General features: G+C 41.8%; 1 protein-coding gene across 13 annotated transcripts in view, besides 4 other annotated features; it reads left to right on the top strand.

Annotated features, from left to right (window-relative positions):
* The window catches only part of ASH1L (ASH1 like histone lysine methyltransferase), a 227935-nt gene that overhangs the window by 10992 nt on the left and 191903 nt on the right, over positions 1-25040 (top strand). Inside the window, exon 1 of one of the 13 annotated variants that reach the window (XM_047425235.1) lies at positions 19843-23729. The exons of the other annotated variants lie outside the window; for them this stretch is intronic. The gene's annotated coding sequence lies outside the window, so the exon portion shown is untranslated. Of the gene's footprint in view, positions 1-19842; positions 23730-25040 lie in introns of those variants that run through there. 13 annotated transcript variants of the gene reach the window in all.
* Positions 5652-5751: an enhancer, noted in NCBI's record as "active region_1817". NCBI's record gives its function as "activates an Ori minimal core promoter by ATAC-STARR-seq in GM12878 lymphoblastoid cells {active_cell/tissue: GM12878}" and the evidence as "EXISTENCE:reporter gene assay evidence [ECO:0000049][PMID:35858748]".
* Positions 6032-6532: an enhancer, noted in NCBI's record as "H3K27ac hESC enhancer chr1:155515470-155515970 (GRCh37/hg19 assembly coordinates)". NCBI's record gives its function as "activates a minimal SCP1, AML or CMV promoter by ChIP-STARR-seq in naive H9 embryonic stem cells {active_cell/tissue: H9 hESC(naive)}" and the evidence as "EXISTENCE:reporter gene assay evidence [ECO:0000049][PMID:30033119]".
* Positions 11341-11390: a silencer, noted in NCBI's record as "silent region_1406". NCBI's record gives its function as "represses an Ori minimal core promoter by ATAC-STARR-seq in GM12878 lymphoblastoid cells {active_cell/tissue: GM12878}" and the evidence as "EXISTENCE:reporter gene assay evidence [ECO:0000049][PMID:35858748]".
* Positions 21532-22033: an enhancer, noted in NCBI's record as "H3K4me1 hESC enhancer chr1:155499969-155500470 (GRCh37/hg19 assembly coordinates)". NCBI's record gives its function as "activates a minimal SCP1, AML or CMV promoter by ChIP-STARR-seq in primed H9 embryonic stem cells {active_cell/tissue: H9 hESC(primed)}" and the evidence as "EXISTENCE:reporter gene assay evidence [ECO:0000049][PMID:30033119]".

The raw sequence follows: 25040 nt of genomic DNA, 5'->3' as shown, positions 1-25040 counted from the left end.
ACAGGCGTGAGCCACTGTGCCCGGCCTTCATATATTTATTTAGTGCTTACTATGTGCCAGGCACTATTCTAGGTACTGGGATACAGTGATGGACAAAACAAGATCCCTGCTTTGCTGTCTTAGGACTTAATAATTTGGGCATTTTCTTTTTTCGATATAGATCTTTTAGTACTGATATAACATACTGTTAGCCAGTATATTACGTGTTGTTCAAGCAAGATTCTTTTTCTTTTTTGACACGGAGTCTCAACCTTTCGCCCAGGCTGGAGTGCAATGGCATGATCTCGGCTCACTGCAATCTCTGCCTCCCAGGTTCAAGTGATTCTCCTGCTTCAGCCTCCCAAGTCACTGGGATTACAGGCGCCCGCCACCACGCCCGGCTAATTTTTTTTTTTTTTTATCTTTAGTAGAGACGGGGTTTCACCATGTTGGCCAGGCTGGTCTTAAATTCTTGACCTTGTGATCCACCTGTCTTAGCCTCCCAAAGTGCTGGGATTACAGGTGTGAGCCAACACTCCTGGCCTGCAAGATTCTTTTTTTTTTTTTTTTTTGAGACGGAGTCTCGCTCTGTCGCCCAGGCTGGAGTGCAGTGGCGGGATCTCGGCTCACTGCAAGCTCCGCCTCCCGGGTTCACGCCATTCTCCTGCCTCAGCCTCCCAAGTAGCTGGGACTACAGGCGCCCGCCACTACGCCCGGCTAATTTTTTGTATTTTTAGTAGAGACGGGGTTTCACCGTTTTAGCCGGGATGGTCTCGATCTCCTGACCTCGTGATCCGCCCGCCTCGGCCTCCCAAAGTGCTGGGATTACAGGCGTGAGCCACTGCGCCCGGCCGTAGATTCTTAAGATAGACTCAAGATTCCTGAAGAAATTCCTGGTATATGATTATTTTTCTGCTAAAGTGAATCAATTATGTGACAAAAATTTTTCCCCCCCGAGGAAAAGATACTGTGTGCCTATGTTTCATCCAGGCATTCCATTGGATAGTTAGTCCTTTGAGATATCAGTGGATTAAATCATCTGTTAAGAATCAAATAAAATGCTGCAGGAAGAAAGTGAAAAACAAAACAAAAAAAGAGTCAAATAAATAAAGGCTGGGCATGGTGGCTCTCCCCTGTAATCCCAGGACTTTGGGAGGCTGAGGTGGGGGGATTGCTTGAGCCCAGGAGTTCCAGACCGCCTGGGCAACATAGTGAGACCATGTCTCTAAAAAAATTTTAAAAATTAGCCAGGCATTGTGGCACATACCTGTAGTCCCAGCTACTTGGGAGGCTGAGCAGTAGATTTCTTGAGCCCAGGAGGTCGAGGCTGCAGTCAGCCATGATTGCACCACTGCACTCTAGCCTGGGCAACAAGATGAGATCCCATCTGGATCTTTATGTCAAGTACTGTATTAAGCCCAGAGTATACAACAGTGAATAAAACAGATAAAAGTTGTTGCTTTCATAGTGCTTCCTTTTGAGTAAGATAGACAATATTAAATAAATGGGAAATATGTCCTAGCATTTTGATGATAGATGTGGTAAAGGAAGTATAAACAAGGTAAGGGATGTTGGGTAGTTAGGGAAGTCCTCTGAGGCACTAATATTTCAGGAGATACCTGAATTATATGAAGGACCCAGTGCAACTATCTGGGGCATGAGCATAAGCCCTGAGACAGGAGTACCTGTTGGTGTGTTCAAGGAATAGAAAAGGGCTAAAACAGTAAAGGGGGGAATAGTGATAGGAGATAGAAGAGGTAGCCAGGGACCAGATAACATAGGGACTTAAAGACTTGATAGGTATCTAGTTTTGTATTTCAAGTTTGATTGGAAGCAGGGAAATGACTTGATCTGATATATGCACTTTGAAAGATGAATAATGCAACCAGGTTGACCAGTTCAGAGGCTATCGTGGACTGGGCGTAGTGGTTCACACCTCTAATCCCAGCACTTTGGGAGGCCGAGATGGGTGGATCACGAGGTCAGGAGTTTGAGACCAGCCTGACCAACATGGTGAAACCCCATCTCTACTAAAAAGCAAAAATTAGCTGGGCGTGGTGGTGCACACCTGTAATCGCAGCTACTCAGGAGGCTGAGGCAGGAGAATTGCTTGAACTCGGGAGGTGGAGATTGCAGTGAACTGAGATTACGCCACGGCACTCCAGCTTGGGCAACAGAGCGAGACTCTGTCTCAAAAAAAAAAAGAGGCTATCGTGATAGTTGAGGCAACAGCTGATTGTGGTGTTGAGTGTACTGGTGGGTGGATTTGAGGTATATTTTGGAGGTAGTGGAGATAATAACTTGCTGATGGTTTGGATGTGGGATCAGGGTAAAAGAGGAGTCAAGGATGACTTCAGTGATGGCCTGAGCAGTTGGATGCTTTTTTCTTTGATGAGGAACACTGTGGGAAAAGCAAATTATAAGGAGTACAGAAATGAGGGATTTGGTTTGGATATACAGTCATCCCTCGGTATCTGTGAGAGATTGGTTCCCCCGAGGATACCAAAATCTGTGGATGTGCCAGTCCCTTATATAAAATGGTATACTACTTGGATATAACCTATGTGTATCATCTTGTATACTTAAATTTTTTTTTTTTTTTTTTTTGAGACTGAGTCTTGCTCTGTCACCCAAGCTGGAGTGCAATGGCACGATCTCGGCTCACTGCAACCTCCGCTTCCTGGGTTCAAGTGATTCTCGTGCCTCAGCCTCCCAAGTAGCAGGGATTACCGTGCCTGGCTAATTTTTGTATTTTTAGTAGAGGTGGGGTTTCACTATGTTGCCCAGGCTGGTCTTGAACTCCTGACCTCAGGTGATCCACCCGCCTTGGACTCCCAAAGTGCTGGGATTACAGGCGTGAGCCACTGTGTCTGGCCAAAAAGTTTTTTTTTGAGACAGGGTCTCTCTGTTATCCAGGCTAGAGTGCAGTGGCATGGCCATAGCTCACTGCAACCTCAAACTCCTCAGGTAAAGCTATTTTCCTACCTCAGCTTCCTGCGTAGGTGGGATTACAGGCTCACGACACAATATTCGGGTAATTTTTTTGGTTTTTGTAGAGAGAGAGTCATGCTTTATTGCCCAGGTTCGTCTCGACCTCCCTGTTTGTATACTCTAAATCATCTCTGGATTAATTATAATACCTAATACAATGTAAATGCTATGTAAATATACTGTGTTGCTTAGAGAATAATGACATAAAAAGTATATATATTCAGTGCAGACACAATTATCCTTTTCTTCCACCCCTGCCCCTGGAATATTTTTGATCCGTGGTTGGTTGAATCCTCGTATGTGAAACCCATGGATACAAAGGGCTGACTGTACAGGGTTTGAGATTTCTACTAAGTGTTTAAAGTTGAAATATTGAATAGGCAGTTGGGTGTACAAGTCTTGAGGTCAGGGCAAATATAAACTTGGGAGCTGAGCAGCATAGTGATGCTATTTAGAGCCAAAGAACTTGATGAAATTACCCAGAGAGTGAGTGTAGATAGAGAAAAGATGAAGTTCTTAGACTGAGTTGCTGGATAAATATTTTTGATACTGGGAGAAATTTATCTAGAATACCAGAACTAAAAGAGAATCTTTTGATAATTTGAGGACTAACACCTTCCTGGCTAAGAAACTCTAACAAGTACTAACTAGTCAAGATGTAGAGACAAATGTAAAATGGTTGGTGAATGAATGTCTATTTTTTATCTCTCTTTTGTTTGATACGGAGTCTGGCTCTGTTGCCTAGGCTGGAGTACAATGGTGCCATCTAGGTTCACTGCAACCCCCACCTCCCAGGTTCAAGCAGTTCTCCTGCCTCAGCCTCCCGAGTAGCTGGGAGTACAGGCATGTGCCAAACACGCCCGGCTAATTTTTGTATTTTTAGTAGAGACAGGGTTTTACCGTGTTGGTCAGGCTGGTATTGAACTCCTGACCTCATGTGATCCACCCACTTTGGCCTGCCAAAGTGCTGGGATTACAGGCGTGAGCCACTGCATCCAGCTCATCATCTAGGTTTTAAGCTCCACATGCGTTAGTTACTCGTCCTCAGGTTCTCCCTCCCCTTGCCCCCCAACCCACTGACTGGCCCCAGTATGTTGTTCCCCTCCCTGTGTTCATGTGTTCTCATTGTTCAACTCCCACTTATGGGTGAGAACATGCGGTGTTTGGTTTTCTGTTCCTGTGTTAGTTTGCTGAGGATGATGGCTTCCAGCTTCATCCATGTCCCTGCAAAGGACATGATCTCATTCCTTTGTTTTTTCTTTTTTGAGACGGAGTCTCGCTCTGTCGCCCAGGCTGGAGTGCAGTAGTGCGATCTCGGCTTACTGCAAGATCCACCTTCCGGGTTCACGCCATTCTCCTGCTTTAGCCTTCTGGTGGGTAGCTGGGACTACAGGCGCCTGCCACCATGCTTGGCTAATTTTTTTGTATTTTTAGTAGAGGCGGGGTTTCACCCTGTTAGCCAGGATGGTCTCAATCTCCTGACTTCATGAGCCACTGTGCCTGGCCTTTTTTTTTTTGAGACTGAGTTTCACTCTTGTTGCCCTGGCTGGAGTGCAACATCATGATCTCAGCTCACCACAACCTCTGCCTCTCGGGTTCAAGCGATTCTCCTGCCTCAGCTTCCCGAGTAGCCAGGGTTACGGTCATGTGCTACCACACCTGGCTAATTTTGTATTTTTAGTAGAGATAAGGTTTCTACATGTTGGCCAGGCTGGTCTCAAACTCCTGACCTCAGGTGATCTGCCTGCCTCAGCCTCCCAAAGTGCACCTCACCGAGCCGATCTCATTCCTTTTTATGGCTACATAGTATTCTGTGGTGTATATGTGCCATATTTTCTTTATCCAGTCTATCATTGATGGGTATGTGGGTTGGTTCCATGTCTTCGCTATTGTAAATAGTGCTGCAGTAAACAGAAACACATGTGCATGTGTCTTCAGAGGATTTTAACTTTTTTTTTTTTTAAATGGTAGTTGTGGTGAGTAGTCATGGCCCTCATTAAGAATATGATGAAACATAATCCCAGCACTTTGGGAGGCCAAGGCGGGCAGATCACGAGGTCAAGAGATCTAAACCATCCTGGCCAACATGGTAAAACCCTGTCTCTACTAAAAATACAAAAATTAGCTGGGCATGGTAGCACATGCCTGTAGTCCCAGTTACTCGGGAGGCTGAGGCAGGAGAATTGCTTGAACTTGGGAGGCAGAGGTTGCAGTGAGCCAAGATCACGTCACTACACTCCACCCTGGTGACAGAGCGAGTCTCCATCTCAAAAAAAAAAAAAAAAAAAAAAAAAAGAATGTGATGAAACCTTTGTAGTCTTTCCCAGAAAGTGTATATATGCACATAAAATGTGAATGTAAGGGGTTCACTGGCACTTTGGATTGTAGGCCAATATTCTTTGTTATATAAGTGTCTTAATTATGAAAATCATGGAATGACAGTTGCGTTGTTTACCTGTTCTTTACCAGAGTGCTTTTTTTTTTGAGACGGAGTCTTGCTCTGTCACCAGGGTGGAGTGTAGTGGCGTGATCTCAGCTCACTGCAACCTCTGCCCCCCGAGTTCAAGTGATTCTCCTGCCTCAGCCTCCCGAGTAGCTGGGACTACAGGCATGTGCCAGCATGCCCAGCTAATTTTTGTATTTTCAGTAGAGACTGGTTTCACCGTGTTGGCCAGGATGGTTTAGATCTCCTGACCTCGTGATCTGCCCGCCTCGGCCTCCCAAAGTGCTGGGATTATAGGCATGAGCCACCGCGCCCAACCCAGAGTGCTCTTAAAAGTGGAAATAAACTCATGTAAGGAATGCTAGTGGTTAGATGACGATATAAGCAAATCTTTACTCACTGTCACCTGTTCACCTCCCTTTCCCCTTTACCATTATGGTAATGCAATAATTTCTTTTTTTTTTTTTGAGTCAGAGTCTCGCTTTGTTGCCCAGGCTAGAGTGCAGTGGCACGATATCGGCTCATTGCAAGCTCCGCCTCCTGAGTTCAAGCGATTCTCCTGCCTCAGCCTACCACGTAGCTGGGACCACAGGTGCATGCCACCACACCTGGCTAATTTTTGTTTTTTTTTTTTTTTTTGGTGATGGAATCTCGTGTTATTGCCCAAGCTGGCGTGCAGTGGCACCATCTCAGCTCACTGCAGCCTCCATCTCCCAGGCTCAAGCGATTCTCCTGCCTCAGCTCCTGTGTAGTTGGGATTACAGGCACACGCCACCACGCCTGGCTAGTTTTTTTGTATTTTAAGTAGAGATGGGGTTTCACCACATTGGCCAGGCTGGTCTCGAACTCCTGACATCTAGTGATCTGCCTGCCTTGGCCTCCCAAAATGCTGGGATTACAGTCTTGAGCCACTGCATCCAGCCTAATTTTTATGTTTTTAATGGAGATGGGGTTTCACTACGTTGGCCAGGCTGGTCTCAAACTCTTGACCTTAAGTGATTCACCTGCCTCAGCCTCCCAAAGTGCTGGGGTTACAGGCATGAGCCACTGCACCTGGCCTCAAATCTTTTTAAAATAAGTTTTTAATGGATTTTTGTTTTATTGTAAAACTAATGCAAATTCTGTAATAGGAATATATATGTGTATATATAATTTTTTTCCTTTTTTTTTTTCCTTCCAAACCTTTCTCCTTTAAATGACTAGCACTATCAATTTGGTGTGTAATCATTCATAATTTTTTCTCTATATAGGATTTTTGTCCTACTCTTTCCAAATATGAGATCTTGCTTGCTTTTAACTAAGAAATAGCAGACATATATTTTGTGTGTGTGTGTATAAAAAATATTTTTGGTCAGTATGAAGGAAATCTTCATATAATAAATCTTTTTATTGGTACTTTTATTTTTCTATAGGAGTCTCAAAAGTAGGATTACTTTTGGAGTCAAAGAGTATGTAAAATGTAAAAGTTTGTAATGGATAGTATAAATATTACTTTCTAAAATGATGGTGGCCACTAGTGCCCATTTACCATACATTATCAGTATTACTTGCTATTTTGAATTTCAACCAAATTGATAAGTAAAACATAGCTTTTTTTTTTTTTTTTTTTTTTTTTTTTTTTTGGTGAGATGGAGTTTTGCTCTTCTTGCCCAGGCTGGAGTGCAATGGCGCGATCTCGGCTCACCGCAACCTCTGCCTCCCGGGTTCAAGCGATTCTCCTGCCTCAGCCTCCCGAGTAGCTGGGATTACAGGCATGTACCACCATGCCCGGCTAATTTTGTATTTTTAGTAGAGACGGGGTTTCTCCATGTTGGTTAGGCTGGTCTCGAACTCCCGACCTCAGGTGATCCGCCCGCCTCAGCCTCCCAAAGTGCTAGAATTACAGGCGTGGGCCACTGCGCCCGGCCAATAGTTTGTTTTTATTCACACCTCCCTGACTATACTAATGAGGTGGTATATCTTTTTATATTTGTTATTTTTATCTCTCTTGTAATTGCCTATGCATATTTTTTGTATATCTTATTTAAGATAATTTTATATTAAGATATATTAATCCTTTTTCATGTTTATATTTTCTCCCAATCTTATTTGTCTTTTTATTTTATTTACAATGTCTTAGTCTACAGATATATACTGCTTTAACATAATCATACTTGTCACTATTTTTCTTTATGGTTTTTAGTTTCCTGATTTGCCTAAGAAGGGTTTCTCGGCCGGGCACGGTGGCTTACGCCTGTAATCCCAGCACTTTGGGAGGCTGAGGCGGGCAGATCACGAGGGCAGGAGATCGAGACCATCCTGGCTAACACGGTGAAACCCCATCTCTACTAAAAATACAAAAAAATTGGCTGGTCGTGGTTGCAGGCACCTATAGTTCCAGCTACTCGGGAGGCTGAGGCAGGAGAATGGCATGAACCCGGGAGGCAGAGCTTGCAGTGAGCCGAGATCTTGCCACTGTACTCCAGCCTGGGTGATAGAGTGAGACTATATCTCAAAAAAAAAAAAAAGGGGGTTTCTCCACCATAGGTTATAGAAATAGTCATGAACATTCAGATACTTTTACTTTTGTATGTAGTGTTTACATCCACGAGTAGGGCTAGTCATAGTGGCTCACACCTGTAATCCCAGCACTTTGGGAGGCCGAGGTGGGAGGATTGCTTGAGGCCAGGAGTTTGAGACAAGCCTGGGCAACATAGTGAGACACCCCTTGCTTGAGCCCAGTAGCTTGAGGGTACAGTAAGCCATGTTCAAACAACTGCACTCCAGTCTGGGTGACATCGAAAGACCCTGTCTCAAAAAAATAAAAATAAAAAATAAATCCATGAGGAAATTGCTTTTTTGTTTTGTTGTGTTTTTTTTGAGATAGGTCTTGTTCTTTCGCCTAGGCTGGAGTGCAGTGACACCATCATGACTTACTGCAGCCTCAGCCTCAACCTCCCGGGCTCAATTGATTCTTCTACCTCAGCCCCTGCCAAGTAGCTGGGACTACAGGTGCATATCACCAGGCTCAGCTAATTTTTAAATTTTTTGTAGAGATGGGGTCTCACTATGTTGCCCAGGCTTGTCTTGAACTCCTGGCCTCAGGTCACCCTCCCACCTCAGCCTCCCAGAGTGCTGGGATTATAGATGTGAGCCACCATGCCAGCCTTATTTTTGTTTATGATGCAAAGAATGGGTGGAACTTTGTTTTCTGCCAACGGATATCCAGTTATGTCAACATATAGCCACATATATCAAATAAATCATCTCCTTGTCATACTGAAATCTTTTTTTTTTTTTTTTTTTTTTGAGACAGAGTCTCACTCTGTGATGCAGGCTGGAGTGCAGTGGTGTGATCTTGGCTCACTGCAACCTCTGCCTCCTGGGTTCAAGCAATTTTCCTGCTGCACCCTCTAAGTAGCTGGGACGACAGGCACCTGCCACCATGCCTGGCTGATTTTTGTATTTTTAGTAGAGATAGAGTTTCACCATGTTGGCCAGGCTGGTGTCGAACTCCTGACCTCAAATGATCTGCCTGCCTTGGCCTCCCAGAGTGCTGTGATTACAGGCATGAGCCACCACGCCCGGCTGACTGAAATCTATTAATTGAAAAGGGTTTTCATTTTCACAGGACTGCCACTAATCCATATTTTGTTTTTATGCAAAATAGGAAAGGATTTCCTTCTACAAGATACTTAATTTTGATCTTCCAGGATTTTTAGGTGGCTTTACTGAGATATAATTCATATATAGTAATTTAAAGTGTACAATTTTTCCCCAGCAGCCACACAGTGCCGTTAAAATATTTAAAAAAAAAGTAATAACAAGGTGTAAGATTTAATGGTTTTGGCCAGGCATGGTGGCTCACGCCTGTAATCCCAGCACTTTGGGAGGCCTAGGCAGGTGGATCACCTGAGGTCAGGCAGCCTGACCAACATGATGAAACCCTGTCTGTACTAAAAATACAAAAAATTAGCTGGGCATGGTGGCGGGCACATGTAATCCCAGCTACTCAGGAGGCTGAGGCAGGAGAATCACTTGAACCTGGGAGGTGGAGGTTGCAGTGAGCCAAGATTGCACCACTGCACTCCAGCCTGGGTGACAGAATGAGACTCCTTCTCAAAAAAAAAAAAAAAATTAATTAATTAATTACAGCATGAATTTTGCCTTCTTAGAAGTGGCTCTTTTGTTTAAAATATAAGCATGTTCAGTGGCCTTCAGTTGACAGGCTGTAATCATCGCCAAAATGTAATTATTTATTTATTTATTTGAGACAGAGTCTTGCTCTGTTGCCCAGGCTGGAGTGCAGTGGCGCAACCTGGGCTCACTGCAAGCTCCACCTCTCAGGTTCACGCCATTCTCCTGCCTCAGCCTTCCAAGTAGCTGGGACTACAGGCGCCCACCACCACGCCTGGCTAATTTTTTGTATTTTTGATAGAGATGGGGTTTCACTGTGTTAGCCAGGATGGTCTCGATCTCCTGACCTCGTGATCCGCCCGCCTCAGACTCCCAAAGTGCTGGGATTACAGGCGTAAGCCACCGTGCGTGGCCCAAAATGTAATAATTTATTAATGGGAAAATCTTTCTGATACAACTTGAACTTTCTTCCTGTTGTCATTTTAGAATTCCCTAAAGATTGAGATCAGTGTTCCTATATATTTCTCGGAAACACAATCCTACATTCCTATCCCCCTCCCCCTCTTTTTTAACAAAACAGAATTGCAGTTATATTTTTGATCTACGTTAACTTTGCTATTCAGGTAAGCTAAGTAAGGTTTGATTGGATAATCTGTATGGCAGTCTGAGTATAATTTTTCCATCAAGATTTTTAGCCTTGGGACTGCTTTCTGGGGCTTACTTTTCCCCTTGTGACTTGGTAATTGGAAATTTATGTCTATTTCACTTTCCTGTTCTAAGTTTCTAGAAGGACTTGTTGGTATAATACAGTATTTTCTTGGTCATGAGATGCATACTTTCCTCCCAGTTTAATATTTCTAAAATTAGGAAATAACATAATTGATGTTTACATTTAATCTAGTAGTGCTCCCTCACCCCTAAAAATATGGTTATTGATTCATGAAGCTTCTTAAAATCAGCAGCTTCTTGAAATTGAAGAAATATATAGAGTACATAAATATGAAACTAACTAGATTTATTGGATATCAGTACTTTGAGAGTTAGAAATGGTTACTGATTGTCATCTTTTCAGTGAAGGGTTCTATAGTTGAGTAAAAAATTTGTCTAACTTTGTAAGTATAGTTTATATTGTAGAAATTGCTTCCAATTTTGTTGGTAACTTCATGAAGCTATTCTAATTTTTTTGTGATTTTAGTGACTTATATAATATTAGTGACTTAGTAGTTTCATGTAAAATATCTTCAAACTAATTAGGGCATGGGTTACTCTTTTACCTTTGGAAAGCACATTACATGGTGTATATAGTGCTTATTTTTTAAATTATAGAAACTGAAAAATTTATATAATATTTAAAGAAAAATATCAATTTTTAATATTTTAAGTTTCATTTTGCCTATTCTCTTTTATCTATATACACGTTTTAAAATGTAGAATTAATGTTTGTTTACTCATTCAATAGATATTTTTTGAATGCCCTTTATGTTCTAGGTGCTTTGCTAAGGATGTAGCAGTGAATACAGCAAACAGGATTTTTATTCTCATGTAATGCATGGTCTAGTGGAAGATATGGATATTAAATAACTTAATTGGTATAATGCATATTAAGAGACTTATAGTATGGATATGCACTTAGCAGGGTGATCTGCCAGACTCAAGCCATCCTCCCGCCTCAGCCTCCCAAGTCTAGGGGAATAGGAAATGTCTCCCCGAGGGAATGACTTTTAAACTAAGATGGAAAGGAAGAGAAGTAGTCATATGGAAAGATGCTGGAAGAGAGTTCCAGGCAGAGAGAACTAACTGTATGTTCTAAAGGAGGGAAAACAGTTATTTGGGAACTGAAAAGTGCTTCAAACACATGTATCACAGATGTATGAGTGTTTGCTTTTTTGTTGTTTCCTGTTGTTGTTGTTGTTAAGACAGGGTCTCGTGTTGTCACTCAGGCTGGAGTGCAGTGGTGTGATCTTAGCTCGCTGCAGCCTTGACTTCCCAGGCTCAAGCGATCCTCCCACCTCAGCCTCCCAAGTAGCTGGGACTATGGGCATGAGCCACCATATCCAGCTAATTTTTGCATTTTTTGTAGAGATGGGGTTTTGCTGTGTTGCCAGGCTGATCTCAAACTCTTAGACTCAAGCAGTCTGCCTGCCTTGGCCTCCCAAAGTGCTGGGATTACAGGTTTGAGTAACTGCACCCAGCTGAGTGCTTGCTTTTTTTTGGTGGTGGTTATTTGCTCTTGCTCTGCTCACAACAGTGTGGGGAATGGTGAGGCCAGAGATATGTAGGGGCAGTTAACAACAACAAAAAGTAAACAGTGATACTGTGAAGTGCTGTTCTAAGTACTTTTCATATATTAGTTTATTGAACCCTTACAACAATTTCTATTCACATTTGAGAGAACTGAGGCCGTGAGTACTTTGCACAAAATTAATATAGCAGGACTAGCTTCTGAGACTGTGTTTTGGCTTCAGAGACTATATTCTTAACCACCAAACCATGCTGCAGATTGTAAGTTGCAAGTTATGAGTGTGATTAGGGACTTTTATATATGAAGGGCAGTGAGAAAACATTCAAAGATTTTAAGCAGGGAAATTACATTATCAGAATTTTTTTTTTTTTTGAGACAAGGTCTTGCTCTGTCACCCAGGCTGGAGTCAGTGGTGCAATCATAGCTCACTGTAGCCTTGACCTCCTGGGCTCAAGGAATCCTCCCACCTCAGCTTCCTGAGTAGCTGGTACTACAGGTGGGTGTGCCACAACACCTAGCTGATTTTTTATTTTATTTTTTATTTTTAGTGGAGATGAGGTCTTGCTGTGTTGCCCAGGCTGGTCTCAAAATCCTGGGCTCAAGCGATCGTCCTGCCTTGGCCTCAAGCGATCTTCCTGCCTTGGCCTCAATGTGCTGGGATTACAGGCATGAGCCACTGGGCCTTTGAGAAAAACAATCTCTAGTGGCTCACGCCTGCATTCCCAGCACTTTGGGAGGCCGAGGCTGGAAGATCGTTTGAGCCCAGGAGTTCGAGACCAGCCTGGGCAACATAGCAAGATGCTGTCTCTACAAAAATAAAAAATTGGCTGGGCATGGTTGGTGTGTGCCTGTAGTCCCAGCTACTCAGGAGGCTAAGGCTGCTTGGGCCCAGGAGGTTGGGACTGCAGTGAACTATGATCGTGCCACTGCTCTCCAGCCTGGGTGACAGAGCAAGATTTTTTCTCAAAGAACAAGAACAAAATATATATATATATATAAAATAAAACACCTTTCTGGATGTAGCTTGGGCTGGAGGAGAGCAAGGTAGATGTACAAAGAAGTTAGAGGGCTGTTGCTATATTCTGGGTGAGAATTGTTGGTTTTTTTGGACAAGTCAGTGGGAGAATTGGAGAGGAACTCTATGTAATCACAGATTATTTATGTGACATTCAGAAGTTTTGGTGTTAGGTTGAAGGTTGACAATAAGGGAGTGAGAATAGTCAGGATGAGTGCCACTGCACTCCAGCCTGGGTGACAGAGTGAGACTCCATCTCAAAAAATAAAAAATAAAAATTAAAAAATTAAAAAGATACCAAAAGATTTTAGAGAAGCAAAAGACTGACTGAACCTAAAGAATTCCAACATCTGGGAGTCTGGTAGGCCAAATCAGATCTGCAGATAAGACTCAGGAGTGGCTTCCAGAGAGGTGGCAGGAATGTGTACTATCATAGTAACCTGTAGTAGTTTGACTAGTAGTAGCTCTGACTTGAGCAATTGGTGGTACTGAAATGGGAAAGATTGGAGGAGGATTAAACTTTGTAAAGATATTGAACCAGGTTTCAGATATACTGTCTGGAGCTTAAAAGTCTTAAGTAGTATAATAAATTACACAGGGAAAGAATCTAGAGTAGGAGCCAGGTGCAGTGGCACATGCCTATGGTCCCTATTACTTGGGAAGCTGAGGTGGGAGGATCCCTTGAGCACAGGAGTTGGAGGCTGCAGTAAGCTATTATTATGCCACTGTACCCCAGGCCAGATGATAGAGCCGTCTTTATTAAAAAAAAAAAAAAAAAAAAAAGGCTGGGTACAGTGGTTCACACCTGTAATCCCAGCACTTTGGAAGGCCGAGGCGGGCAGATCACGAGGTCAGGAGTTCAATATAGTGAAACCTTGTCTCTACTGAAAATATAAAAAATTAGCCGGATGTGGTGGTGCGTTCCTGTAGTCCCGGCTACTCGGGAGGCTGAGGCAGGAGACTCGCTTGAACCCAGAAGGCAGAGGTTGCAGTGAGCCGAGATTGCGCCATTGCATTCCAGCCTGGGTGACAGAGTGAGACTCCATCTCAAAAACAAACAAACAAACAAACAAACAAAAAAACGCCAGGTGCCATAGCTCATGCCTGTAATCCCAGCACTTTGGGAGGCTGAGGTGGACAGATCACTTGAGGTCAGACGTTCAAGACCAACCTGGCCAAAATGGTGAAACCCCATCTCCAAAATGCAAAATATAAGTACTAAAGATACAAAAATTAGCCTGGCCTGGTGATGCGCACCTGTAGTCCCAGCCACTTTGGAGGCTGAGACAGGAGACTCACTTGAACCCAGGATGCAGAGGTTGCAGTGAGCCAAGATGGTGCCACAGCACTCCAGCCTGGGTGACAGAGTGAGACTCCATCTCCAAAAATAAAAATAAAAAATAAATAAAAATTAAAAAATTTAAAAAATGCCAAAATATTTTAGAGAAAGAAAAGACTGACTGAACCTAAGGAATTCCAACATCTGGAAGTCTGGTAGGCCAAATCAGATCAGCAGATAAGACTCAGGAGTGGCTTCCAGAGAGGTGGCAGGAATGTGTACTATCACAGTAACCTGTAGTAGTTTGTGTCTTGTGTTCATTTTCTTAGTACTGCCTTTTTGAAGGACAGAAGTTTATAGTTTTGGTGAAGTTCAGTTTACCAGCTTTTTTTAAAAAAAAAAAATCATGCTGTCATATCTAAGAAATTTTGCCTAACCCAAAGTCACAAAGATTTCCTTCTACATTTTCTTTTAGGAATTTTATAGTTCGTTTTCGAATTTAGATTTGTGATCCACTTGAGTTAATTTTTGTGTATGATGTGAGGTAAGGGTCTGAGTTCTTTTCTTGCAGATGGATATCCTGTAGTAGATTTGGAGTGAGAAGATTACATTCAATCCAAGTTCTTCTATTTACTAATTTTACAGTCTTAGAGTTAATCACGTTTCGAAGCCTGTTTGCCCATCTATAAAATGTGATTAGTTAAATCTAATAAGATTATTGTCAGAATGAAACAAATGAGACAATAAGTGAAACCACTTTGGCATAGTGTATGGCGCCTAGTAGGACTAAGATAGATAAATGTTAGTGGAGTTTGAAAAACACTCCCAGGATACCCAAATACTCTTCTTGTTTGTTTCTTTAAATTCGTTTCAGTGAGTGAATAATGCCCAAGCTTTTGGTTTTCAGATATAATCATTGTAATATTTAATCCCTTGAAATTACCTCTTAATCTTAAAGTCTATCAGCTTTAAACTCTAGGCAGCAAATGCACTGCAGGCATGTTTTAGGGAGTTTTGACTTCTTTGGGTTTGTTTGATAACATTTGATAAATAATTGCCTTTCTGTGTTGAATTTCTTTCTTTTTTCCCTTTTTTTTTTTTTGAGACAGAGTCTTGCTCTGTCGCCAGGCTGGAGTGCAGTGGTGTGACCTCGGCTCTCTGCAAGCCTCGCCTCCAGGGTTCACACCATTCTCCTGTCTCAGCCTCCCAAGTAGCTGGGACTACAGGCACTCGCCACCACGCCCGGCTAATTTTTTTTTGTATTTTTGGTAGAGACGAGGTTTCACCATGTTAGCCAGGATGGTCTCGATCTCCTGACCTTGTGATCTGCCCATTTCAGCCTCCCAAAGTGCTGGGATTACAGGCATGAGCCACTGCGCCTGGCCTCTTTCTTTTTTCTTTTAACTTTTTTTAGAGACTGGTTCTCACTCTGTCACCCAGGCTGGAGTGCAGTGGCATGATCATAGCTCACTGCAGCCTTGAACTTCTGGGCTTGAGCAGTCATCCTGGATTAGCCTCCCTCATTATGTAGAAGTATTAAAAGCATGGGTTCTACTTTTGACAGACATAGCGTATTCATATATGGGAGCTGTTGAGTAGTGAGAAATGACTGCATATGTTTTGAAGGTAAAGCTGACAGATTTTGCTGACAGACTGCGTGTGTAGGATTTGAGATAAAGGAAGGAGTCAAGGATGATAACAAGTTATTAGGCCAAAAATTTGTCATCTCAATTCAGTAGCAGATGATCTTTTCAAGGCCTGAGTCAGATCATGTCATTTCTTAAAACCATTTTGATGGCTTCCTGTCTCAAAGTAAAAGCTAAAGTCTTTATAAGTCTGCAAGGCCCTCTGTATAAGTCCTGCATGCCCTCTCAGTCTGCGTACTCATTCAGTTCCAGGAAGCCGGGTTGGGCAAAGGTCTCCATTCTATTTCTGAAACACAACAAAAATACTTCCACCTCAAGACCTTCGCACTTACTTTTTGGCTTGACTAGAACCTCCATTTCCTGGGTATGTGATTACTTAGCTAGTTTGATATATCCTAAGAAATATGATGGTTATCTGTGGAAATTTTAAAGAGTCTGAAGCCCAGCACAAATTTAAATGAATAATGTGCTATAAATTTTTTTCTTTTTTTTTTTTTTCTTGAGATGGAGTTTTGCTCTTGTTGCCCAGGCTGGCGTGCAATGGCACGATCTCGGCTCACTGCAATCTCTGCCTCCCAGGTTCAAGAGATTCTCCTGCCTCAGCGTCCTGAGTAGCTGGGATTACAGGCATGCGCCACCACGCCTGGCTAATTTTGTATTTTTATTAGAGACAGTGTTTTTCCATGTTGGTCAGGCTGGTCTCAAACTCCCAACCCAACCTCGGGTGATCTGCCTGCCTCAACCTCCCAAGTGCTGGGATTACAGGTGTGAGCCACCATGCCTGGCCTAATGTGCTATACATTTTTAAATAAAATCTTGTGTCGCTAATTTATACTTTTTTTTTTTTTTTTTAAGAGATGGGGTCTTGCCCTGTTGCCAAGGCTGAAATGCAGTGATATTTTCTTAGCTTACTGAGGCCTCAAGTTCCTGAGTTCAAGCAGTCCTATTGCCTTGGCCTCCCAAAGTGTTGGGATTACAGGCGTGAACCACCACACCCAGCCTATAACTGGTTTTTAATGTTAAGAAATAATGTTGTAATGTTTAGAAATAAAAAGTCTCTAGCCATGTTTAATAAAGATCACAAAGGAAAACAAAAATTCCTTGTAGATGAGCAGGCATGGTGGCTTGCCCCCTGTTAGCTGCGCGGGAGGCTGAGGTGAGAGAATCATTTGAGCTCCAGAGTTTGAGGCTGCAGTGAGCTAAGAAGATGCCACTGCATTCCAGCCTTGGCAACAGAGCAAAACCCAGTCTTAAAAAAAAAAAAAATCCTCAGATAAGACAAGTTAGATTTTACTTTTTTTTTTTTTTTTTAAATGGAGTTTTACTATTGTTGCCCAGGCTGGAGTGCAATGGCACGATCTTGGCTCACCACAACCTCTGCCTTCTGGGTTCAAGCGATTCTCCTGCCTCAGCCTCCCGAGTAGTTGGGATTACAGGCGTGTGCCACCATGTCCCGCTAATTTTTGTATTTTTAGTAGAGAAAAGAGTTTCACTGTGTTGGCTAGGCTGGTCTTGCTCCTGACCTCAGGTGATCCACCCGCCTTGGCCTGCCAAAGTGCTGAGGTTATGGGCATGAGCCACCGCACCTGGCCAGATTTTACTTGTTTTAAGCTAACAATCTACCTGCATTGTTTAATCTATAACATGGCAATTTTAAATAGGTTTACTTATCTAAAAAGAAAAAGAATTGTTCTTCATTGTTCTTCCAGGCTAAAAATCTTATAAAATTCCGTTAACTTTTTCATTTGTATGTTGTTACACTGCCTCCCTCTGTATATAGCATATACATATATTTTCAGCTCTCTCTTTGACTTTCCACTTAAATGTTTCACAGGTACCTAAAATTTAATGTACTTATTACTGAACCCTTTGATCTTCCCTTTCTGTCTCATCCTGGCATACTTCTAGAATATTGGCCCCACAAAGCAAGGGTTTTTGTCTATATTTTGTACTATTGTATCTCCAGTTCTTGATATATAACTTGGTAAATATTTGTTGAATGAGTCTCCAAATGGTACCACCATACCATTTACCATTTGGTCAAGTCTTCAGTTTTTTCCACCCTCATCCTCTCACATTATATTGACAAATATCTAACATGTCTCTTAAATCCACCCGTTTTTCTCTATTTCCATTGTTACCATCCTAATCTAGTATGCTGATATGACTGGTATTCCAGAACCAACTTTTGCTGTCTTTGGAATAATCTTCCTTCCTCAGCAAACAGATGTTTCTCAAAATGTAGGCTTGTATCTTGTTATTGTCCTTCTCAGAGCCCTTTAATACCTTCTTTGTGAATTCCAAATTTTTTTTTTTTTTCTTTTTTGAGATTGGATCTCGGCCTGTTTCCAGCGTGGAGTGCAATGGCACCACCATGGCTCACTATAGCCTTGACCTTCTGGGCTCAAGCAGCTGGGAACTCTCAGAAAATAAATAAATAAATAAAAATAATAATAAAAAAATTTAAAGGAAAGAAAGCACTTAAAGTTCATGAGACCAAGGACCATGTTTGTGTTACTCATGACGGTATCTACAGTGTGTGTCACAATTCTCAAAACATATTTTGAGGCTCTCAGAAAACATTTGTTGAATGAATGAAGGAATAGATTAAGAATGATGAATCCATAAAGGAAATGATGAAATGGTTGGAGAGGTGTTGGGAGAACCAGTAGAATGTATCATAGAAACCAAAGAGTTTCAAACGTAGCAAATATGCCAAATGTAGCAGAGAGAAATAATAAGATCGAGACTAAAGATGATCTTTTCTTTTTTTTTTTTTTTTGAGACGGAGTCTCGCTCTGTCATCCAGGCTGAATGGAGTGCAGCGGTGCGATCTGGGCTCACTGCAACCTTTGCCTGCCAGGTTCAAGTGATTCTTCTGCCTCAGCCTCCCGAGTAGCTAGGACTACAGGTGCACACCACCACGCCTGGCCAATTTTTTTTTTTTTTAAGTGGAGACGGGGTTTCACCATATTGGCCATGCTGGTCTCAAACTCCTGACCTCATGATCCACCCGCCTCGGCCTCCCAAAGTGCTGTGATTACAGGTGTGAGCCACCACGCCCAGCCTAAAGATGATCTTTGGGAGGCAGCAAAGCATAGTGGTTAAGAGGAGCGAAACAGACCTGTTTCTGCCTTTTATTGGCCATTAGCCTGTCTTTTCATGTCTAAAAAGGGAATAATAATAGTAACTACCGCATGCTGATTGTGAGCCTTAAATGAGATAATATATGTAAAACATTTGGCATAGAGCTTTGTACATGCTAAGAACTCAGTAAGTATTTTATTACTTTTACTGATGCTAAATTCACTGTGAGGACTCATTTGTAGTACTTTAAAAAATTTGGTTGATTTTATATTGTTTTGCTGAATAGTGTTCCATCAAAGCATGGCTATTCCCTTTCTACCCCTGAAAATAGATGGGGTATTTACATATAAAATGATTTCCAAACATAGTTGTCTTCCAGAGTAGTTCTGTATCTCAGACCAGACCTTCGCCACCAACACACACACACACTCTCTCTCTCTCTCTCTCCCCCCATATATATATACACACACACACATATATATGCACACATATATACACATACATACATATACATACATACATATATATATACATATATATACACATATATATGTGTGCATATATATATATATAATTTTTTTTTTTTTTTTGAGACAGAGTCTCACTCTGTTGCCCAGGCTGGAGTGCAGTGGCACAATCTCGGCTCACTGCAACCTGTGCCTCCTGGGTTCAAGTGATTCTTCTGCCTCAGCCTCCTGAGTAGCTGGGATGACAGGCACCTGCCACCACACCTGGCTAATTTTTGTATTTTTAGTAGAGATGGAGTTTCACCATGTTGGCCAGGCTGGTCTTGAACTCCTGACCTCAGGTGATCCACTCGCCTCAGCCTCCCAAAGTGCTGGGATTTATAGGCATGAGCAACCACGCCCAGCCCAGACCACTATATTAATAACAGTGTATTAGTTAATTTTTATCAGATCCACTGTTTGTTACTTGGATGTGGGATTAGAATGGCAGGTGTTGGGGTGGATAGAGGTCTTCATTTTGTAGAGAATATGTATTTGTAAATTTGTAGGTAGTTTTTAACATATTGTTAGATTATCATACTTTGTTTTTATACAATGTATATGTCCTATTAATATAATTAGTAATTTCCTTTTTAAAAAACATATGGTTAGTAATTTTCTAAAGAGTTTACTTAATGCTGTAATGATTTGTGCAAAAGTATTTAATGCTGTAGGTACAGTGTTACTTTCCTTTGAATTTGGACCAGACTGTCCCACATTGTTCCAGAGATTTGAAAACATAAATCCCAAAATTGCATGTGAGATGAATATTGAGTTTGCCTGTTTGAGTGAAGAGATTCTAGCAATCTTAGGTCTGTGTTTTTCCTTGGAAATGTATTTTAAGTTGAATATATTGTAGTAGAAACCAAAATAAGTTGTGTTACAACATGGCATCCTTGCCCCTGGATGGAAAACCTAGATTGTTTAGATATTTTTCCAAAAGCTGAAAGAATGATATTCTCAATGAACATTGCTTTGAAAGTTCAAAAAACAGCATTCTGGCAGCTGCTGTAGGGACTGTTTTTCAAGCAGTTTACATTCAGCAGATAAAAAGCACTCTGTTGTGAAATATCTTCAGAATTTGGGTTTATCTTGACTAGAAACTCTTAAATTTGGTATGTGGGGTTTGCCAATCATGATTTTCCAGTTTTACTACCTAAATGGATTCTCAAAATATGCCTGTAAGCATACTGTTCGTTTTTCTCCTTGATCATGTTAGGGAAATGTAGTATTTCTCTCTTCTCATATACATTTTTAGGGGGGGAAATAAATGTTTTCAAATCTCTTTTCAGTTTATTGGTACTCTGCTATTTATGTAATAATATGTGTCACTTGGATTAAGTTTTATAATTTTTTTTCATTTTTAAAATGAGAATCATGTTTCTGTCAGACCTTTCTCTGTAATGTTTTGAAAGGGAATTAAGTGCAGATAAAAAATGAATTCTTTGCTTGAACCCGGGAGGCGGAGGTTGCAGTGAGCCGAGATCACGCCACTGCACTCCAGCCTGGGTGACAGGGAGACTCTGTTTCAAAAAAAAAAAGAATTCTTTGGAAAAATGCTGAAATTCTTCATTTATACATATAAATTTTGCAGTTATACATATTAAGACATGGAATTCTTTCATTACAAAAATTGTAATGGGAAAATTTAAAATGTATGCATTTGTGAGTAATGAATATAAAAGCAATTCTTTTTTTTTTTTTCCAAATTGTAAAATGTTGTGGGTTTTTTGTTACATCTGTTTTTTGAGATGGGGGTCTCTCTTTATTGCCCAGACTGGAGTGCAGTGGCACGATTCTAGCTCACTCCAGTGTTGAACACTTGGGCTCAAGTGATCTTCTCATCTCAGCCTCCAGAGTAACTAGGCCTACAGGTGTGTCCCACCACACCCAGCTAATTTTTTAATATTGATTGATTGATTGAGACAGAGTGTCACTCTGTTGGCCAGGCTGGAGTGCCTCTGGAGTAGCTAGGACTACAAGTGTGTCCCACCATACCCAGCTTATTGTTTGATTGCCCGGGCTAGAGTACAGTGCTGTGATCATGGCTCACTGCAGCCTCGACCTCCTAGACTCAGGTGATCCTCCCACCTCAGCCTCCTGGGTAGCTGGGACGATAGGCACGTGCCACCATGCCCAGCTAATTTTTTTGATTTTTTTTTTTCCTTCCCGAGACAGAGTCTTGGTCTGTCACCCAGGCTGGAGTGCAGTGGCACAGTCTTGGCTCACTGCAACCTCCACCTCCTGTGTTCAAACAGTTCTCCTGCCTCAACCTCCTGAGTAGCTGAGATTACAGGAGCGTGCCACCATGCCCAGCTAATTTTTGTATTTTTTTTTTTTTTTAGTAGAGACGGGGTTTCACCATGTTGGCCAGGCTGGTCTCAAACTCCTGACCTCAAGTGATCTGCCTGCCTTGGCCTCCCAAAGTGCTGGGATTACAGGCGTGAGCCACTGAGCCCGGCCTAGAAAGGGGACAATTTGAAGCTCGTAAAATATAACCCACATAAGTCAGGGAATTAATTCTACAAATATTTATTGAACACCTACTATATGCCAGCTAGTGTTCTACGTGCTGGGATATAGCAGTGAACCAAACTGATAAGTCTATTTCCTGGTAGAGTTCAAATTTCAATGGAAAGATGTACACAACAAATATATAGTACACCAGGTGGTAAGAAGAGTATGAGAATAAAATAGGATACTGAATGTGAGTAGAGGGTGGTGGGGGGATAGGTGTTTTTTTTAGGAAATGCTTCTTCTGTAAAATTACGTTTAGACAAAGATACGAAGGAAGTGAAAGAGCAAGATATGCAATTATCTGGGGAAAGGGTGTTCTGTCAAGCGGAATGGTAAGTGCAAAGGTCCCAAGGTAAAGAGTATTTTTGTTGTGTTTGAGAAACAGAAGGGAAACTTCTTTTTTTTTTATTTTTTTTATTTTTTTTTGAGACAGAGTCTTGCTCTGTTACCTAGGCTGGAGTGCAGTGGCGCAATCTCGGCTCACTGCAATCTCCACCAGAAGGGAAACTTTTGTACCTCCTTCTTGGAACTAAGTGAGGAGACTGGTAGGCGATGGAAGAGAGGTAGAGAGGACTTTAGGACAAATTAAATTGGATCTTTAGACCATTTAAAAAATTTTGGCTTCTGCTTTGAGGGAGATAGGAAGCCTACGAAAGGGTTTTGAGCAGAGGAGTGACATGATCTGAATCAGGCTTTGAAAGGATCACCCTGCAACTGAATTGAGAAGACTGGAAGAGATATGAGGGTTGAAGCAAGGAACCAGTTAGAAGCATGTTGCATTTTGCAAGCTATGCATCTGACAAAGGTCTAATGTCAGCATCTGTAAGGAACTTAAGCAAATCTATGAGAAAAAAAATGATTAAAAAGTGGGTAAAGGACATGAACAGACACTTCTCAAAAGAAGACATACATGCAGCCAACAATCATGAGGAAAAGCTCAACATCACTGATCATTCAAGAAATGCAAATCAAAACCACAGTGAGACCATCTCACATCATTCAGAATGGCTATTAAAAAGTCAAAAAAAAAAAAAAAAAGATGCTGGCAAGGTTGCAGAGAGAAAGGAGTGCTTATACACTATTGGTGGGAGTGTAAATTAGTTAAGCCATTGTGGAAGACTGTGGTCATCCCTCAAAGACCTAAAAACAGAAATAACATTTGACTCAGCAGTCCCGTTACTGGGTATATACCCAAAGGAATATAAATCATAAAGACAGATGCATGCGTATCTTCATTGCAGCACTATTCACAATAGCAAAGACATGGGATTAACCTAAATGCCCACCAATGGTAGACTGGATAAAGAAAATGTAGTACATATACATCATGAAATGCTATGGAGCCACAAAAAAAAAATGAGATCATGTACTTGGCAGGATCATGGATGGAGTGGAGGCCATTATCTTTGGCAAACTAGTGCAGGAACAGAAAATCAAATACTGTATGTTCTCACATATAAATGGGAGCTAAATGATGACAACACATGGACACATAGAGGGGAACAACACACACTGGGGCTTATTGGAGGGTGGAGGGTGGGAAGAGGGAGAGAATCAGGAAAAATAACTAATGGGTACTAGGCTTAATACCTGGGTGATGAAATAAACCCCCATGACACAAGTTTACCCACGTAACAAACCTGCACATGTACCCCTGAACTTAGAATAAAAGTTAAATATATTAAAAAATCAATAAATCAATGGACTTTGAGTTAAGCAGATCACCCTCCATAATGTTGGGGAGGAACTTCATCTACTCAACTGAAGGCATTAACAGAACAAAAGATTGACCTCTCCTCAGTAAGAGGCAAGTCTGCCAGCAGAATGAAAACATTGGGTCTTCCTGGGTCTTCAGCCTGCCACTGACCCACCCTGCAGATTTTGGGACTGGCCAGCTTCCATAATCATGTGAGCAATTCCTTTAAATAAACCTCTTTCTTTAAAAAAAAAAAAAGCTATTGCAATAATCCATTCACATATTTATCATCACTTGGATCTAATAGCTGTCAGAGTAATGACAACTGGTTAGATTCTGCATACATTTTGAAGGTAAAGCTGACAAACTTAGCTGACCAAATGGACATGAGGGGTTTGAGAGAAAAAGCAATTAAGGATGGGTAGAGATTTTTGGCCTAAATATTTCTCTTTGGAATTACCATATTTTGAAATGAAACCTGTAGGAAGAATAGATTTGGGGCAGTGGGCAAAGATGAATTGATTTTAAACATGTTAAGTGCCTATCTATTACACAATCCAGTCAGTATGTCAAGTAAGCATTTAGATATGTGAATCTGAAGTTCCAGAAAGAGGTCTCAGCTAGTCTCTATCTGAAGATAGAAATTTGTGAATCATCAATGTTAGATGAAATTTAAAGCCGTAAGACTGGATCTGGTCATTTGGGAACTGAGTGTAGATAGAAAAAGGAAGAGGTCCGGGTACCCTGCGTCACTCCAGTATTTAAAGGTCATGGAGGAAGGAAAGAACCTGCAAAGGAGACAGAGGGTAGTAGCCAGTGAGGAAGAACAATCAAGAGAGGAGTCCCAGAGCTGGGCACGGTGACTCATGCCTGTCATCCCAGCTACTCGGGAGTCTGAGGTCGGAGGATTGCTTGAGGCCAGGACTTGAAGACTAGCCTGGGCAACCTAGTGAGACCCTGTCTCTAAAACAGTGAAAAAAAATTGGACATGGTGGCACATGCCTGTATTTCTAGCTACTTGGAATAGCTACTTGGGGTCTGAGGCAGGAGAATCACTTGAGCCCAGGATTTTGAGGCTGCAGTGAGCTATGATTGTGCCACTGCACTCTGGCCAGGGTGACAGAGAGAGACCTTGACTCAAAAAAAAAAAAAAAAAAAAAAAGGTATCCCGTAAGTCAAGTGAGGTAGCGAGGGAGCTGTTTAGCTGTGCCAAATTCTGTTGATAGGTCAGGTAAGATGAGAGGACTGAGAATTGATCATTCTTCTTAGCAATGTGGAGGTTGTTGGTGACCTTGACTAGCAGTTTCTATGGAGGGGTGGCAGTGAAAGTATAATCAGTATGTTCAAGAGAAAAAGCAAGGATTGGAGGTCAGGGAGAATAGACAATATAGAGAATTCTAACAATTTTGTTGTGAAGAGGAACAGAGAAATGGGAAGATGGTGGAGGATGTGGAGTCAAGAGGAATTTTTTTTTTTCTTTTTTTTTGAGACGGAGTCTCGCTCTGTCACCTAGGCTGGAGTGC

This window comes from Homo sapiens, chromosome 1 (genome assembly GCF_000001405.40).
Source record: "Homo sapiens chromosome 1, GRCh38.p14 Primary Assembly".
NCBI classification, from domain to species: domain Eukaryota; kingdom Metazoa; phylum Chordata; class Mammalia; order Primates; family Hominidae; genus Homo; species Homo sapiens.
Note: the sequence above shows the minus strand (reverse complement) of the source record. Positions and strands in the feature narration are given on the sequence as shown.